Source organism: Homo sapiens, chromosome 4, assembly GCF_000001405.40.
Source record: "Homo sapiens chromosome 4, GRCh38.p14 Primary Assembly".
Classification (NCBI taxonomy): Eukaryota; Metazoa; Chordata; class Mammalia; order Primates; family Hominidae; genus Homo; species Homo sapiens.
The window spans coordinates 158032899-158047718 of record NC_000004.12 but is presented as its reverse complement, the minus strand read 5'-3'; the positions used below and the strand labels follow the sequence as shown (position 1 = coordinate 158047718).

Below are 14820 nucleotides of genomic sequence, written 5' to 3'. Positions count from 1 at the left end.
TTGAAACTTTATTTTTTAATGTGCTGTAGAATAATTTGCATAATAATTATTTGTTCTAGAGTTTGGAAGGATTATCTTTGAGAGTATCAAGCCCTAATTTTTTTTATTTTGGGGATAGATTTTTTATATCTAACTATTTGACTAATTTTTTTTCAGGATTTGTGTATATACTCTTGTCAGCGTTGGAAAATTGTATCTTCTAGAAATGTTCTATCTTATCCAAATTTTAAACTCATGGCTCTGAGTGTTAGGAAAGTAGTCTCTTCAAAAAATTACCCTGCTTCTATGCTTATTATCTCCTTGTCATGTATTTTAACATGCACATAGATTTCTTCCTTCTTTTATTCTTGATTAGGATAGTGAAGGTTTTAATCCATTTTATTGATTTAATAAAAGCTTTTTAAATTACTTTTATTGTTTTATTTTTTAGTTTTAATCTTGTCTGTTCCCTTCTTTATATAATTTCTGCTTTTGTTTCTATATTCATTTTTCTTTTTTATGGTAAAAAGTTTATATACAAAGTCAGTATACGATGTGTTCATTACTTTTCAAATATTTTGAATTTTTGGCTTATAGTTCTTTAAAGTTTTTTATGAAAGAATTTTAATTTTTTAATTTAAAGAATTATGTTCAAGTGGAAGCATTTTTTGTCTCTTATTTTGTATTAATTTCTTGTTTTATTATATTATAATCAGGAATGCTTTCTGTATTTCTAACTTTTTTGAAATTATGAAACCTTTTTTATGATCTAATATATGATTTTTTAAATGACTATGTCATGAGCCCTTGTACCTATAATCAGGGAAAATGTTTGCATATATGCATGAGATCTACTTTTAAAAAATATGTTGTCTTTATTACACTTACTTTATTACTCTTACGAAATCAAAATGATTTGGATAAATAATTTTTACATTTTAGCATGCTTTTTTTCTCATTTTTTGACATGGTTGCAAATAGCATGCAGATATTTACTGTAGGATTTCCAGATAGTGTTTTAACTTAACCACAATTTGTTAAAAGTTGAAGGTCAAACAATTGCCCTGTTGTTAAGAGGGCAGATTCTGGACATGGAATTCCCCAAACAATGTAGCATTTATAATTTCAACACCAATTCTTACTTCATGGACATCTTCCCTCTCTCCAATAAAAGCCTATGAAAAACTTGTCAATTATCTTGTTATTCTTTTAAAATGAACGTCATAGTTCAAGTTGTTGAAAGTTACCACCATAGAGACCTATTTGTTTGGAATATGACTCCTGTCTACTTAGGGTCAAATTCCGTACGTTCAAAACATGTGTGGCACTCTTTTCCCACAAAAAAACGCTTTCCCCTACTTCATCACATCTCATTGTACTTGTGTAAGTGGGCACATCTATTATGCATAGTGAGGGCTCAAAAAGGTGAAGAGGATCTTAGAGGAAAGTGATTACTCTGGATCTCATACAAAATATATGTGTTCTATGCAAGTGAAAGATGCAAATAAAAAAATTATAACTAAAGGTCTTTGTGAAAGAAGAAAGCAAGAGATTTAAAAAGTATTTTCTTTTCTATGCCTAATCTTGTGCTTATTTACAAATATTGGGGTATTACTATTGCTTATTTGAAACAAACTCACTTGATTTAAAAAAAAACACATAGAATTTAAAAATACTTAAGACAGTTTTAAAAACCTTGTGCTAAGAATTGAATGGTATTCACAAATGATTCAGCAAGTCATGATAAAAAAATATGATGAGGACATAGAGATAAAATTTACAAAAGGGAAATACATCTGACCTATAATTATATAGAAAATTGACCATAACTGTGAAATACTATATTATGTCCCTGCATAACACTGCTGAAGTTCTTTTTTAAAAAGGTAATATTTAATGATGGTAAGGATGTGGCACAGAGGACAATATGATAGACTGCTGATGGGATTATAAACTGGTGCAACACATTTGTGAAGAAATTTGGACATGTACATAATGACAAAATAACAATAAACTACTACTTTACGTCCAAAAGAAATACTTGGCGATAAGTATACATCTTTATATACAAGTACGGTCATTGAAACATTATAACAAACAAACTCAACCTTATGCCTTGGCTCAAATTGAATGTCCACTAATGAGAAAGAAAAGTTTAATGAATTGTAGCACACTGACCAAGTGGAGGATTATGTAGTCACATAAAATCAGTGTTCTTGAAGGCAATTTATAAGCATTGAACAATGCACATGGTGTAACATCGCGTCCAGAATTGGTGGGTTCTTGGTCTCGCTGACTTCCAGAATAAAGCCACGGACCCTTGCTGTGACTGTCACAGTTTTTAAAGGTGGCCTGTCTGGAGTTTGTTCCTTCTGATGTTCGGATGTGTTCGGAGTTTCTTCCTTCTGGTGGGTTCGTGATCTCGCTGGCTCAGGAGTGAAGCTGCAGACCTCGCGGTGAGTGTTACAGCTCTTAAGACAGCATGTCTGGAATTGTTGGTTCCTCCTGGTGGGTTCGTGGTCTCACTGGCTTCAGGAGAGAAGCTGCAGACCTTTGCAATGAGTGTTACAGCTCACAAACGCAGAGTGGACCCAAACAGTGAGCAGCAGCAAAATTTACTGCAAAGAGCAAAAGAACAAACCTTCCAAGGTGGGGTAAGGAACCTCAGCAAATTGCTACTGCTAGCTCGGGCAGCTTGCTTTTATTCTCTTATCTGGCCCCACCCACATCCTGCTGATTGCTCCATTTTACAGAGAGCTGATTGGTCTGTTTTACAGAGAGCCGATTGGTCCGTTTTGACAGGGTGCTGATTGGTGCGTTTATAATCCCTGAGCTAAATACAAAAGTTTTCCATGTCCCCACTAGATTAGCTGGATACAGAGTGTCCATTGGTGCATTTACAAACCTTGAGCTAGATACAGAGTGACGATTGGTGCATTCACAATCCCTTAGCTAGACATAAAGATTCTCCAAGTCCCCACCAGACTGACTAGGTACAGAGTGCCCATTGGTGCATTCACAAATCCTGAGCTAGACACAGGGTGCTGACTGGTATGTTTACAAACCTTGAGCTGGATACAGAGTGCTGATTGGTGTATTTACAATACCTTAGCTAGACATAAAGGTTCTCCAAGTCCCCACCAGACGCAGGAGCCCAGCTGGCTTCACCCAGGGGATCCCGCACCCGGGCAGCCGGTGGAACTGCCTGCCAGTCCCCCGCCGTGAGCCCACACTCCTCAGCCGTTGGGCGGTCGATGGGACTAGGCGCCTTGGAGCAGGAAGCGGCGCTCATCAGGGAGGCTCGGGCTGTGCAGGAGCCCAGGGCAGGGCGGGGAGGCTCAGGCATGGCGGGCTGCAGGTCCCGAGCCCTGCCCTGCGGGGAGGCAGCTAAGGCCCGGCGAGAAATCGAGCACAGCAGCTGTTGGCCCAGGTGCTAAGTCCCTCACTGCCTGGGGCTTGCTGGCCTGCCGGCCGCTCGGAGTGCTGGGGCTGCCGAGCCCACGCCCACCCGGAACTCTAGCTGCACCGCAAGCGCCGCGCATAGCCCGGGTTTCTGTCCGTGCATTTCCCTCCACACCTCCCGGCAAGCTGAGGGAGCCGCCTGGGCCTTGGCCAGCCCAGAAAGGGGCTCCCAGAGTGCAGAGGCGGGCTGAAGGGCTCCTCAAGCGCGGCCAGAGTGGGCGCCAAAGCCGAGGAGGCAGCGAGAGTGAGTGAGGGCCGCCAGCATGCTGTCACCTCTCAACATTACATAAAGTAAAATCTAGCTGCATGCTTCTATTTGCATATTATATACAGACAAAGAGCATGCGGTAATATTGCAAGGAACACATTCCCCCCCACTGGTAAATTCTCTCAAACATGTAGCGAAGAAATAACAGATGTGGGAATTGTAAGAAAATTCTTAGAGAATTTTTAGAAAATGAAGGAAACAATTCCCAGATCATTCTATGAGTTCAACATTACACTGATAACCAAAACTGAGGATAGGAGGAGGTGGGAAGGAACTCTTTTCTTTTTTCTTTTGGTTTTTTGTTTTTTTTAGGGTTAAGGATTTAGGATTAAGTTAGACTTTTTTTTTTTTTTTAACATTTTTTGTATAATTTCAACTTTTCTTTTAGATTAAGGGAATACATGTGCAGGTTTGTTACGTGGGCATATCACATGATGATGAGTTTTGGGGTATGAATGATCCTGTCACCTAGGTAGTGAGTATTGAACCTAACAAGTTTTCAATGCTTTCCCCCCTCCTTCCCTTCCTCTCTCCTCTATTAGTTCCCAGTGTATATTGTTGCATGTTTATGCCCATGAGTACCCAAAGTTTAGCTCCCACTTAGAAGTGAGAACATGTGGTATTTGCTTTTCTGTTTCTCCATTAATTTGCTTAGAATAATGGCTTCCAGCTGCATTCATGTTTCATTATTTTTTATTGCATGTAGTATTCCTTGGGGTATGTGTACCACATTTTCTTTATCCAATTCACCACTGATGGCTACCTAGGTTGATTCCATGTCTTCGCTATTGTAAATAGTGCTGCAATGAATATATAAGTGCATATGTCTTTTGGGTAGAACAACTTATGTTATTTTGGGTATACACCTAGTAATGGGGGTCAAATGGTGGTTCTGTTTTAAGTTCTTTAAGTTCCGCAAACTGCTTTCTACAGTGGCTGAATTAATTTACATTCACACCAACAGTGTATAAACATTCCCTTTTCTCTGCAGCCTTGCAAGTATCTGTTGTTTTTGTACTTTTTAGTAATAGCTATTCTGACTGATGTGAGATGGTATCTCATTGTGGTTTTGATTTGCATTCTTCTGGTGATTATTAATGTTGAGCATTTTTTCATGTTTATTGGCCACTTGTATGTTTTCTTTTGAGAAGCATCTGTTCCTATCTTTTGCCCACTTTTTAATGGGGTTGTTTTCTGATGTTGAATTGTTTAAATTCCTTATAGATTCTGGATAATGGAACTTTGTTGAATGCAATGCAGTTTGTGGATATTTTCTCTCAGTCTGGAGGTTGTCTGTTTACTCTGTTGATAGTTTCTTTTTCTGTTCAGAAGTTCTTTAGTTGGTTCTCACTTGCCAATTTTTGTTTTTATGCAATTGCTTTTGAGGACTTAGTCATAAATTCTTTTCAAAGGGTAGTGTCCAGAATGGTATTCCTAAGTTTTCTTCTAGGATTCTTGTAGTTTGCAGTCTTACATTTAAATCTCCAACCCATTTTGAATTGATTTTTGTACATGGGTCTAGCTGCATTCTTCTACATAAAGCTAGCTAGCTATCCTAGCACCATTTATTGCATAGGGAGTCCTTTCCCCATTGCTTGTTTTCGGTGATTTTGTCAAAGATCAGATGGCTATAGGTGTGTGGCTCTATTTCCGGGTTCTCTATTCTTTTTTGTACCAGTACTATGCTGTTTTGGTTACTAGAGTCTTATATAATAGTATAGTTTGAAGTTGGGTAATGAGATGCTTCTGACTTTGTTCTTTTTTGTTTAGAATTGTTTTGACCATTTGGGCTCTTTTTTGGTTTCATATGAATTTTAGAATAGTCTTTTCTAGTTCTGTGAAAAACGACATTGGTAGTTTGATAGGAATAGTGACAAATCTGTAAATTGCTTTAATAATTTGATTCTACTAATCCATGATCATGGAATATTTTTCCATTTATTTGTGTCATCTATGATTTCTTTCAGCAGTGTTTTGTAGTTCTCCGTGTAGAGATCTTTTACCTTCTTGGTTTGATGTATTCCTAGGTAATTTATTTTTGTGTGTGTGTATCTATTGTGAATGGGATGGTATTCTTGATTTGGCTTTCAGCTTGAATGTTACTGGTGTACAGAAATGCTACTGATTTTTGTACATTGGTTTGGTATACTGAAGCTTTAATGAAGTTGTTTATCAGTTCCAGGAGCCTTTTGGTGGAGTCTTTAGAGTTCACAGTTATAGAATCATATCATCCATGAAGAGAGATAGTTTGATTTCTCCGTTTCCTATTTGCATGCATTTTATTCTTTCTCTTGCCTGATTGCTCTGGCTAGGAATTCAGCACTATGTTGAAGATGAGTGGTGAGAGTGGGCATCCTTATTTTGTTCCATTTCTCAGGGAGAATGCTTCTACCTTTTTCCTGTTCAGTATGATGTTGCCTGTGGGTTTGTAATAGATGGCTATTATTATTTTGAGGTATGTTCCTTTAATGCCTAGTTTGTTGAGGGTTTTTTTTTTAATCATGAAGAGATGTTGGATTTTATTGAAGGCTGATTCAACATCTATTAGGATGTCGTACGTTTTTTGTTTTTAATTCAGTTTATGTGGTGAATCCCATTTATTGATTTGCATATTTTGAACCAAACTTGCATCCCAGAAATGAAGCCTATTTGATCATAGTGAATTAGCTTTTTGATGTGCTACTGGATTTGGCTTGCTAGTGTTTTGTTTACCTTTTTTTGCATCTATGTTCATCATGGATATTGGCCTGTGGTTTTCTTTTTTCGTTGTGTCTTTGTCAAGTTTGAGTATCAGGATAATGCTGGCTTTGTAGAAAGAGTTAAGTAGGAAGAAGTCCCTCCTCAATTTTTTTTGTTTTTGGAGTAGTTTCAGTAGAATTGGTGCCAGCTCTTCTTTGTACACCTTATGGAATTTTTCTGTGAATCCATCTGGTCTGGGGCTTTTTTGTTCTGTAGGTTTTTTTATTACTGATTTAATTTTGGAACTCAATATTGATCAAGGTTTCAATTTCTTCCTGATTCAATCTTGATAGGTTGTGTGTTTCCAGAAATTTATACAGTTTCTCTAGATTTTCCAGTTTGTGTGCATGGAGGTGTTCATATAATCTCTGAGGATCTTTGTATTTCTGTGGGATCAGTTGTAATGCCACCTTTGTCTTTCTGATCGTGCTTATTTGGATCTTCTTTCATGTTTTCTTTGTTAATCTAGCTAGTGGTCTACTGATCTTGTTTATCCTTTCATAGAACCAACTTTTGGTTTATTTGACTCTTTGTATGGATTTTTGAGTCTCAGTTTCATTCAGTTCTGCTCTGATTTTGTTATTTATTTTCTTTTGCTAGCTTTGGGATTAGTTTGTTCTTGTTTTTCTATTTCCTTTGGTGTGATGCTAGGTCATTAATTTGACATCTTTCTAACTTCTTGAGGTAGGCATTTAGTGCTATAAGCTTTTCCGTTAACACTGCTTTTGCAGTGTCTCAGAGATTTTGGCATGTCATGTCTCTGTTTTCACTTATTTCAAAGAACTTTTAAGTTTCTGCCTTAATTTCACTGTTTATAAAAAGTCATTCAGAAGCAAATTGTTTAATTTCCATGTAATTTTGCAGTTTTGGGAAAACTTCTTGTTATTGATTTCTCTTTTCATTCCACTGTGGTCTGAGAGTATCATTGGTATGATTTCAATTTTTTTTTAATTTATTGAGACTTGCCTTATGGCTGAGCATGTGGTTGATCTTGGAGTGTGTTCCATGTGCAGATGAGAAGGATATATATTTCAGGGTTGATGGGTGGAGTGTTCTGCAGATGTTTATTAGATCCAATTGATCAAGTGTCAAATCTAAGTCCAGAGTTTCTTTGTTAGTTTTAAGCCCAGAATTTATTTGTTAAATAGATTATCTATCTATCACTGTCCATGAGGTGTTGAAGTCCTCCACTATTATTGTGTGGCTAAGTCTTTCCATAGGTCTAGAAGAAGTTTCATGAATCAGGGTGCTCCAACATTGGGTGCATATGTATTTAGGATATTTAAGGCTTCTTGTTGACTTTAACTCTTTATCATTTGTAATGTCCTTCTTTATTCAAAATTTAACCAGTGTTGGTTTAAAGTCTTTATCTGATATAAGAATAGCAACCTGTGTTCTTTTTTGTTTTCTGTTTACATGCTAGATCTTTCTTCAACACTTGGCTTTGAGCCTATGGGTATTGTTACATGTCAGATGGGTCTCTTGAATACAGCAGAAGGATGGGTCTTGTTTTTTTTATCCAACTTGCAACTCTGTGCCTTTTAAGTGGGATATTGAGACCATTCACATTCAAAGTTAATACTGATATGTGAGGTTTTAATCCTATCATGAAGTTGTTCACTGGTTGCTTTGTAGTTTCTACTGTGTGTGCTTTATAGGGTCTGTGGGCTATGTACTTAAGTATGATTTTGTGGTAGGAGGTATCATTCTTTAGTTTCTATGTTTAGAGATCCCTTAAAGATCTTTTGTAAGGCTGGTCTAGTGGTCTTAGCACTTGCTTGTGTGGAAAATATTTTATGCTCCCTCACTTATGAAGCTTAATTTGGTGGGATATAAAATTCTTTATTGAAATATCTTTTTTAAAGAATGCTGAAAATAGGCCTCCAGTCTCTCCTGGCTTATAAGAATTCTGCTGAGACATCTGCTGTTAGCTAAATGTAGTTCCCTTTGTATGTGATCTGACCTTTTTCTTTAGCTGCCTTTAAGATTCATTTATTTAGTGTTGACTTTGTATAGTCTTGTGACTATATGCCTTGGTAATGTTCATTTTGTATAGTATCTCGCAGGTGTTATCTGGATTTCTTGTATCTGGATATCTACCTCTCTAGCCAGATAGGGAAATTTTCTTAAATTATTCCCTCAAACATGTTTTACAGGTTGTTTGCTTTTTCTTCTTTTTTCTCAGGAATGTTAATAATTCATAGGTTTGGTCACTTTACATAGTCTCCTATTTTTCAAAAACTTCATATTTTAAAATTCTTTTTTTCTGTATTTTTGTCTGATTGGGTTAAAGATTGGTCTTCAAATTCTGAAATTCTTTCTTCTGCTTGGTCAGTTGATAAAACTTTCAATTGCATTTTGAAATTCCTTGAGTGAATTTTTCAATTCCAGAGGCTCTGATTTAATTTTCAAAGATGTTTATCTCTTATTTCTTTTTCTGGATTGATTTATAAATTTCTTTGTGTTGATATTCAATCTTAGGTTGGATCTCATTGAGCTTCCTTGCAATCTATGCTTTGAATTATTTATGGAATTTCTGAGTTTCCATTTTGTCTAGGGCCCATTACTGGAGAACTAGTGTGAACCTTTGGTGATGTCACTACACTCAGATTTTTCATTGTACAAGAATTCTTACACTGATTCCTTCTCATTTGGAAATGCTGGCACTTCTAATTTTTATAGTTATTTTCATGCAAATTGTTTTTCCCTTTTCTTTCTTTATCTAGAATATTATTGAATTTTTGTTTGTTTATTTTCCTTTCCCTTTCTGCTGTGCTCTAGGTAGTGTGACTGTAGAAAATTCTGGGTAGAATACTTTGGCTTTGCTTCTATAGCCCTACGTACTTCTTTTGGCACTTTTTTTTCTTTTTTTTTTTGAGACAGAGTCTCTCTCTGTCACCCAGGCTGGAGTGCAGTTGCATGATATTGGCTCACTGCAGCTTCCACCTCCTGGGTTCAAGCAATTCTTCTGCCTCAGCCTCCTGAGTAGCTGGGACTACAGACATGCACTGCCATGCCCGGCTAATTTTTTGGTATTTTTAGTAGAGAGGGGGTTTCACCATGTTGGCCAGGATGGTCTTGATCTCCTGACCTCGTGATCCACCCACCTCAGCCTCCCAAAGTGCTAGGATTACAGGCGTGAGCCACTGCACCAGCCTTTTGGAGTGTTTTATATTGAGCTGTGTGGTTTGACTTATAAGTCAGTAGATGGTGCTTATGGATGAGAGCCGCTGAGGTGAATGTGGCTGAGTATATACTTGATCCTTGTTTACCAGGGCACGCTCTCAGTTTCATCAGGCAGTGGTCTTGTTGTTGGAGTGCACAGTGGTCTGGGCTCCTTGCTCATCCTGGAAGTGGGCAGGGAGCAAGATGGACAAGGTGGGATTGAGCAGGACCACCTATAGATTCCCCAGTGTAAGGCACAAGCCCTGGTGCTGAGGGAGAATCCAGTGGGCAGCCACCCATCACCAAGAGGTGTGCCTAGGTATGGAGCTAGGACACCTCCTTGGCCTCAAGTTTTCTGCATGGTCAGGGGAGCAGCCTAAACTCCTAACCCAGGAAAGTGGTTGCTCCAAATGCCTGGAGATCTGCCTGAGTGTAGAGTCTAGAGGGACCCACTGCACCTCAATCTGCACAGGAATGGTGTGGCTGTTCAGGTTTATAATCCAGCCTAATATGCGCTCCAACTGCCTGGAGTTATGCCTGGTCATAGGGTAGAGAGGGTCCCGCTTCACTATAGACTCTGCACAGGGAGGGTGGGCCAGCTCAGGCTGCTGATTTGTGTGAGCAAGGCTCTAAGTTCTTGGAGATCTGCCTGGGCAGGAGTAGAGAAGGGTCTGCTTCACCACAATCTCTGCACAGGAAAGATGGAGCAGCACGGTCTGTTGATTGAGATGAGTGGTTGCTCTGAATTCCTGGAGATCTGTCTGGCCATGAGGTGAAGAGGGTCCTCCAGCACCAGGATCTCTGCACAGGAAGGGTGGGGTGCCTCAGGTTGCTAGTCCATGACAGCAAGTGCTCCAAATGCCTGGATATCTGCCTGGAGGTGAAGTAAAGAAGGCTCTGTTGCACCTTGATCTGTGCACAGGAAGGGTGGGGGTGACTCAGGCTGCTGGTGCAGGCAAGTGTGTGCTCTGAATGCCTGGAGTCCTTCCTGGGGGTGGAGTGGAAAGGGCCTTGCTGCACCACTGTCTCAGGAGAGGAGGCTGGGACACCCAGCAATGACACAGGCAGACCAATTCCAGGTTGCCAAGCTGGCCCTGTTTGGAAGTCTTACAGCCTAGGAGAAAGTACAGCAGTAGCAGCTCTTCTTCTGCTTTAGGCTTGCAATGGGGAGGACACAATTCTAGTGCCTACTGCTGAGGCACTAAGAGATACATTCTTACACACATGCATAAAAAGTAACAATGTTATTGGATATAAAATTCCAAAATGTTAATAGTAGATATTTCTAGATGATAGAATTTTATCACCTGGATTTTCTCTTTATATTTTGTGTTTTCCACAATTTCTTTACTAAGTACATGTAAGAAAAAAAATTAAGTGTGGTTTTTATTGAGGGAAGCTGTTACAATCGTTTGCTTCTGATTTTAGTTCATCATTAATCATTGGTGCAAAATTATCAGACAAACCAGTAATTACTTTATTGCATTCAATTTTGTAATACAGTCTCTGTGAACAGTCAGATTCACATATTTAGCATATTATCTCTTCACTTCTTTCCCAGTGATTAGTTTCAATCTGCATTCTAAAACACCTGCACTGTGTGTGAAGTCAGAAAGCAAAAGGGCTCTGTATCCCACTATATTGCTAAAAAATGGAGAATAAAGAAAAAGAAAATTATCCATGGCATCCTTAGTAAGAATTAGTTAAATAAATAGCAATCACAAAAAACAGCACCAAGTACATTAGTTGCAATGAAGCACGTACAGAAAAGAATTTTCTCTTCAATGTACCATTTACTAAGAGTATAATGGAAAATTAATGAGATCTGCATTTTTATAGAATTGTCTAACCAAAGTATTAAAGAGGTGAGAATTTTCTGTTTATTTATTAAAAGCAATACTAATCTGAAGACTTGTTAAGGCTGGCACTTGTGCCATCTTAGTTTGCATTGTCAGTGTATGGGTGTGTTGTTATGCTGCTTTATTAGCCACATGGAACTTGACTAAATGATTATTTCAAGACAGCACAGGAGATCTGGTAACCCCAAGTAGACATCGCCTTAAATTGTTAACTCACCTTAGAACCATCTGTGTAATGACAATGGGAATGATGAATCAGCAGAATCAGATCCATCTGCATAAGTGGTTTTTAACCTAACACACAGATTTTGGGGGTAGGGTATTACCAATCTTCTCCAGATTTTTGCAGATACAGCACACATATGCCTGATCTAATCCTTCTTTAGGAAATATTGCGAAATATAGACCATACCATTAGCTGGATCTAGGTACACTCTTTTGTAGCATTGTCAATTTTCATATCAAAAGTTTCCCTATTGTAGGATTTCAGACAGCTATCAATTGGTATTATAGCCATAATATTTAAATTTAAAACATTTTTTAAAGATAAAAAAAGTCCCTAAAAGGACACTAGTAAAGATGTGTGTTTATTTACTTGACTCTACTTTTAACACTTAGAAGGTGTTATTTTAAGGATATCTGTGTGATTCCTTTTTTTCTCAGAAGGAAGTGTATTGGCCACTGTTTGGTACACTTGAAAACAGAACTTTTAGCTGACCATCTTGTAATTATGAGACAAAGGTATATTTTCAGGCGTAAATAAAATATTATGCAAAAATGAGCAGTAATTCAAAACATTGTCAAATTAATATTGAAAGTACAACATTCTGTTACAACTGATGTCTGAGAACTGTCAAATGTAAAGACATCTTCATAGCAAGCTACAAAGTACATTTCCTGAATTACCCAGATTGGTTTTATACAAATGAAACTCAGTTTACATTTGCTTAATCTCTCAAGTTATTGGGAATTCACTTGATTTGGAACTGAAAAAGTGGTAAAAATGTTCATCTTATTTAGTTATTATTTAACTCTTATAACACTAAGGCAGTATTAGCTGCTGTACAAAGCAAATTATAATAGTCATTCAAGAGTCTGCATTTAAAACCATCTTTGTTTAATGTAGGAATTGAGATAAATGAATGTTTCTAAGTTGCCTCATTTATCATACAAGATTATAGTCATAGAATCTCAAGAAGATAATATCCCCAAATAAATTTTTCATCAACTTAGAATTTACAGTCTCCAAAAATAAGATTTTTCTCTCCTAGGTATAATTCTTGCCATTTCAAAATTCAGTATACTAGATTTTAATAAACAGTCTGATCCTATTATTGATGTTTGAGGGCAGATAGCTTTCAAGTTCCATCCCTGCCCTTCCCCTCTGTCCTACATCTGGATAAGCTGATAAGAAAATCTAGTTTATTCCTCCTTTGGCACCAACTGCCGAAAAATGTTGTTAATTTTTTCTCTTTTCCACATATTTTAGTGTATGTCTTCTAAAAATATTTTTATGTAGTTTTAGGAATGAGAGAAATTAGATATGTGTATGTTCAATCCATTATTTTTATCTGGCCATCTACCTCTTCAGCTGCTATTCTTGCATCAGGTCCTAATCTGAAGTCTACAAGAATACCCACAGCTAACAAAGATTCATCATGACCCAAGACTGTGATGATTTCAGATATGTATTTCTGTATTATCAAGACTGGGAGGGGCTACTATACGCCTAAAATTAAACTGGTAACAAGAAATCTCCACCTATGACTCCTGTCACACTCAGAACACATGAGGAAGCTTATAATTCTGAATTAAAGTAGGATCCCCAAATCAGTTGTTAGTTTTGACAACTTTGGAACCAACCATAGGGTGGCTGATATGGACTGAATGTTTGTGTCCTCCCACCCCCTCAAATTCATACATTGAAACCCTAATTCCAAAAGTGATGGTATTTAGAGATGCGGTCTTTGGGAAGTAGTTAGGGTTAGATTAGGTCCTGATAATAGGGCCTTTGTGACAAGACTAATGACTTTATAAGAAGACTCTAGATCTCTCTCTCTCTCTTCTCTCTTTGCATGTACTAACAGAAGAAAGGCCATGTGAAGACACGGTGAGAAGACGGCCATCTGAAAGTCAGGAGGAGTATCCTCTTGAGAACTGAATCAAGCTAGTACTTTGATCTTGGACTTCCAGCCTCCAGAACTGTAAGAAATAAATTTCTGTTGTTTAAGCCGCTCACTCTATGGTATTTTGTGATGGTAGCCTGAGGAGAGTGGGATAGTTGCCAAAATTGTCTGTGGGACTATTTATGATAAAATAAGCTGTTATAATTTTTTTCTGCTATCTCTAGCTCTTTGGCTGAGCTTGGCATGCTGGACTTTAAGAGATAAACACTTAACCAGGAGAAACAACTGGAGATTAATTATTAGTAGAATGTGTACTCAGAAAGCCATGTAGGCTTGAGAGAGAAGTGAAAACATTTCTGTCCTGAATCTCCCAGCTGGCGGCATTTTACTGCAGCCAGGTGACTGAATATTTTTAAGGAGGAGCTGGAAACACCCATCAAAAAAAAAACTTTTTTCATGACACACACTGACTCTTGAAAGAATGCTATAAGATGGCCATCTCTTACAAAGGGATGGGTATATAACTATCATGCCCCTAGTCAGAGAGTTGTACTAAAGAGCTGGGTTATTTGAAAGAAGAACTTGAAGGAAGTGCGAGGCTGAAACCAGACCAAAATGAGTCATGGAGTGAGTAGGAGAAAATAAAGTGATTGCATCCAGTAAAAACCGTTCTGCTAAGCACTTTAGATTTGGAGGAAACCGGGGAAGGAAGCAGTTTAAATGACGGAAAAGACTAGGGAAGGGTTATATTTTTTCTAAGATAAGGAATTTAAATTTGTTTGTAAAAGGAAAGGAAAGGTCCAGTAGAGAAGGGAGGTATAAGGTAAAAATAAGTGAACATAATTAAGAGAGAAATTTCTCAAAGCAGACAGGAAGGGACGGAACTCAAAGTATAGGTGGAAGAGATTAACTTTGGACACAAGTGGGGACAGAATGAAATGAGATAAGAATGCTTCAAGATAAACTTGACATGGAGGGGAGGGTATTTAAAGGAATCCAAATCTGACGGTATTTTCTTCTTTAAATTGGAGACTTTGTTTTCTGTTGAGTGAGAAAACTGACATTTAGATTAAATACAATAAAAATAACATTGTAACAACTGATAAGGAATGGGATGATATGAGTAAGGTTGAATACTATCTTTGTGCAGCAGTATTGATGAAAAAGCCACAAGTCTTATCGTCTTATCTTTGCAGGCCTAGTAAACCTTGGTGGGACCAGT

At 37.7% G+C, this 14820-nt stretch overlaps 1 annotated feature.

Moving 5' to 3' along the window:
* Nucleotides 1987-3186: an enhancer, noted in NCBI's record as "BRD4-independent group 4 enhancer chr4:158965685-158966884 (GRCh37/hg19 assembly coordinates)". NCBI's record gives its function as "activates an origin of replication core promoter dependent on BRD2, P300/CBP, MED14 and CDK7 cofactors, and independent of BRD4, by STARR-seq in HCT116 cells {active_cell/tissue: HCT116}" and the evidence as "EXISTENCE:reporter gene assay evidence [ECO:0000049][PMID:35650434]".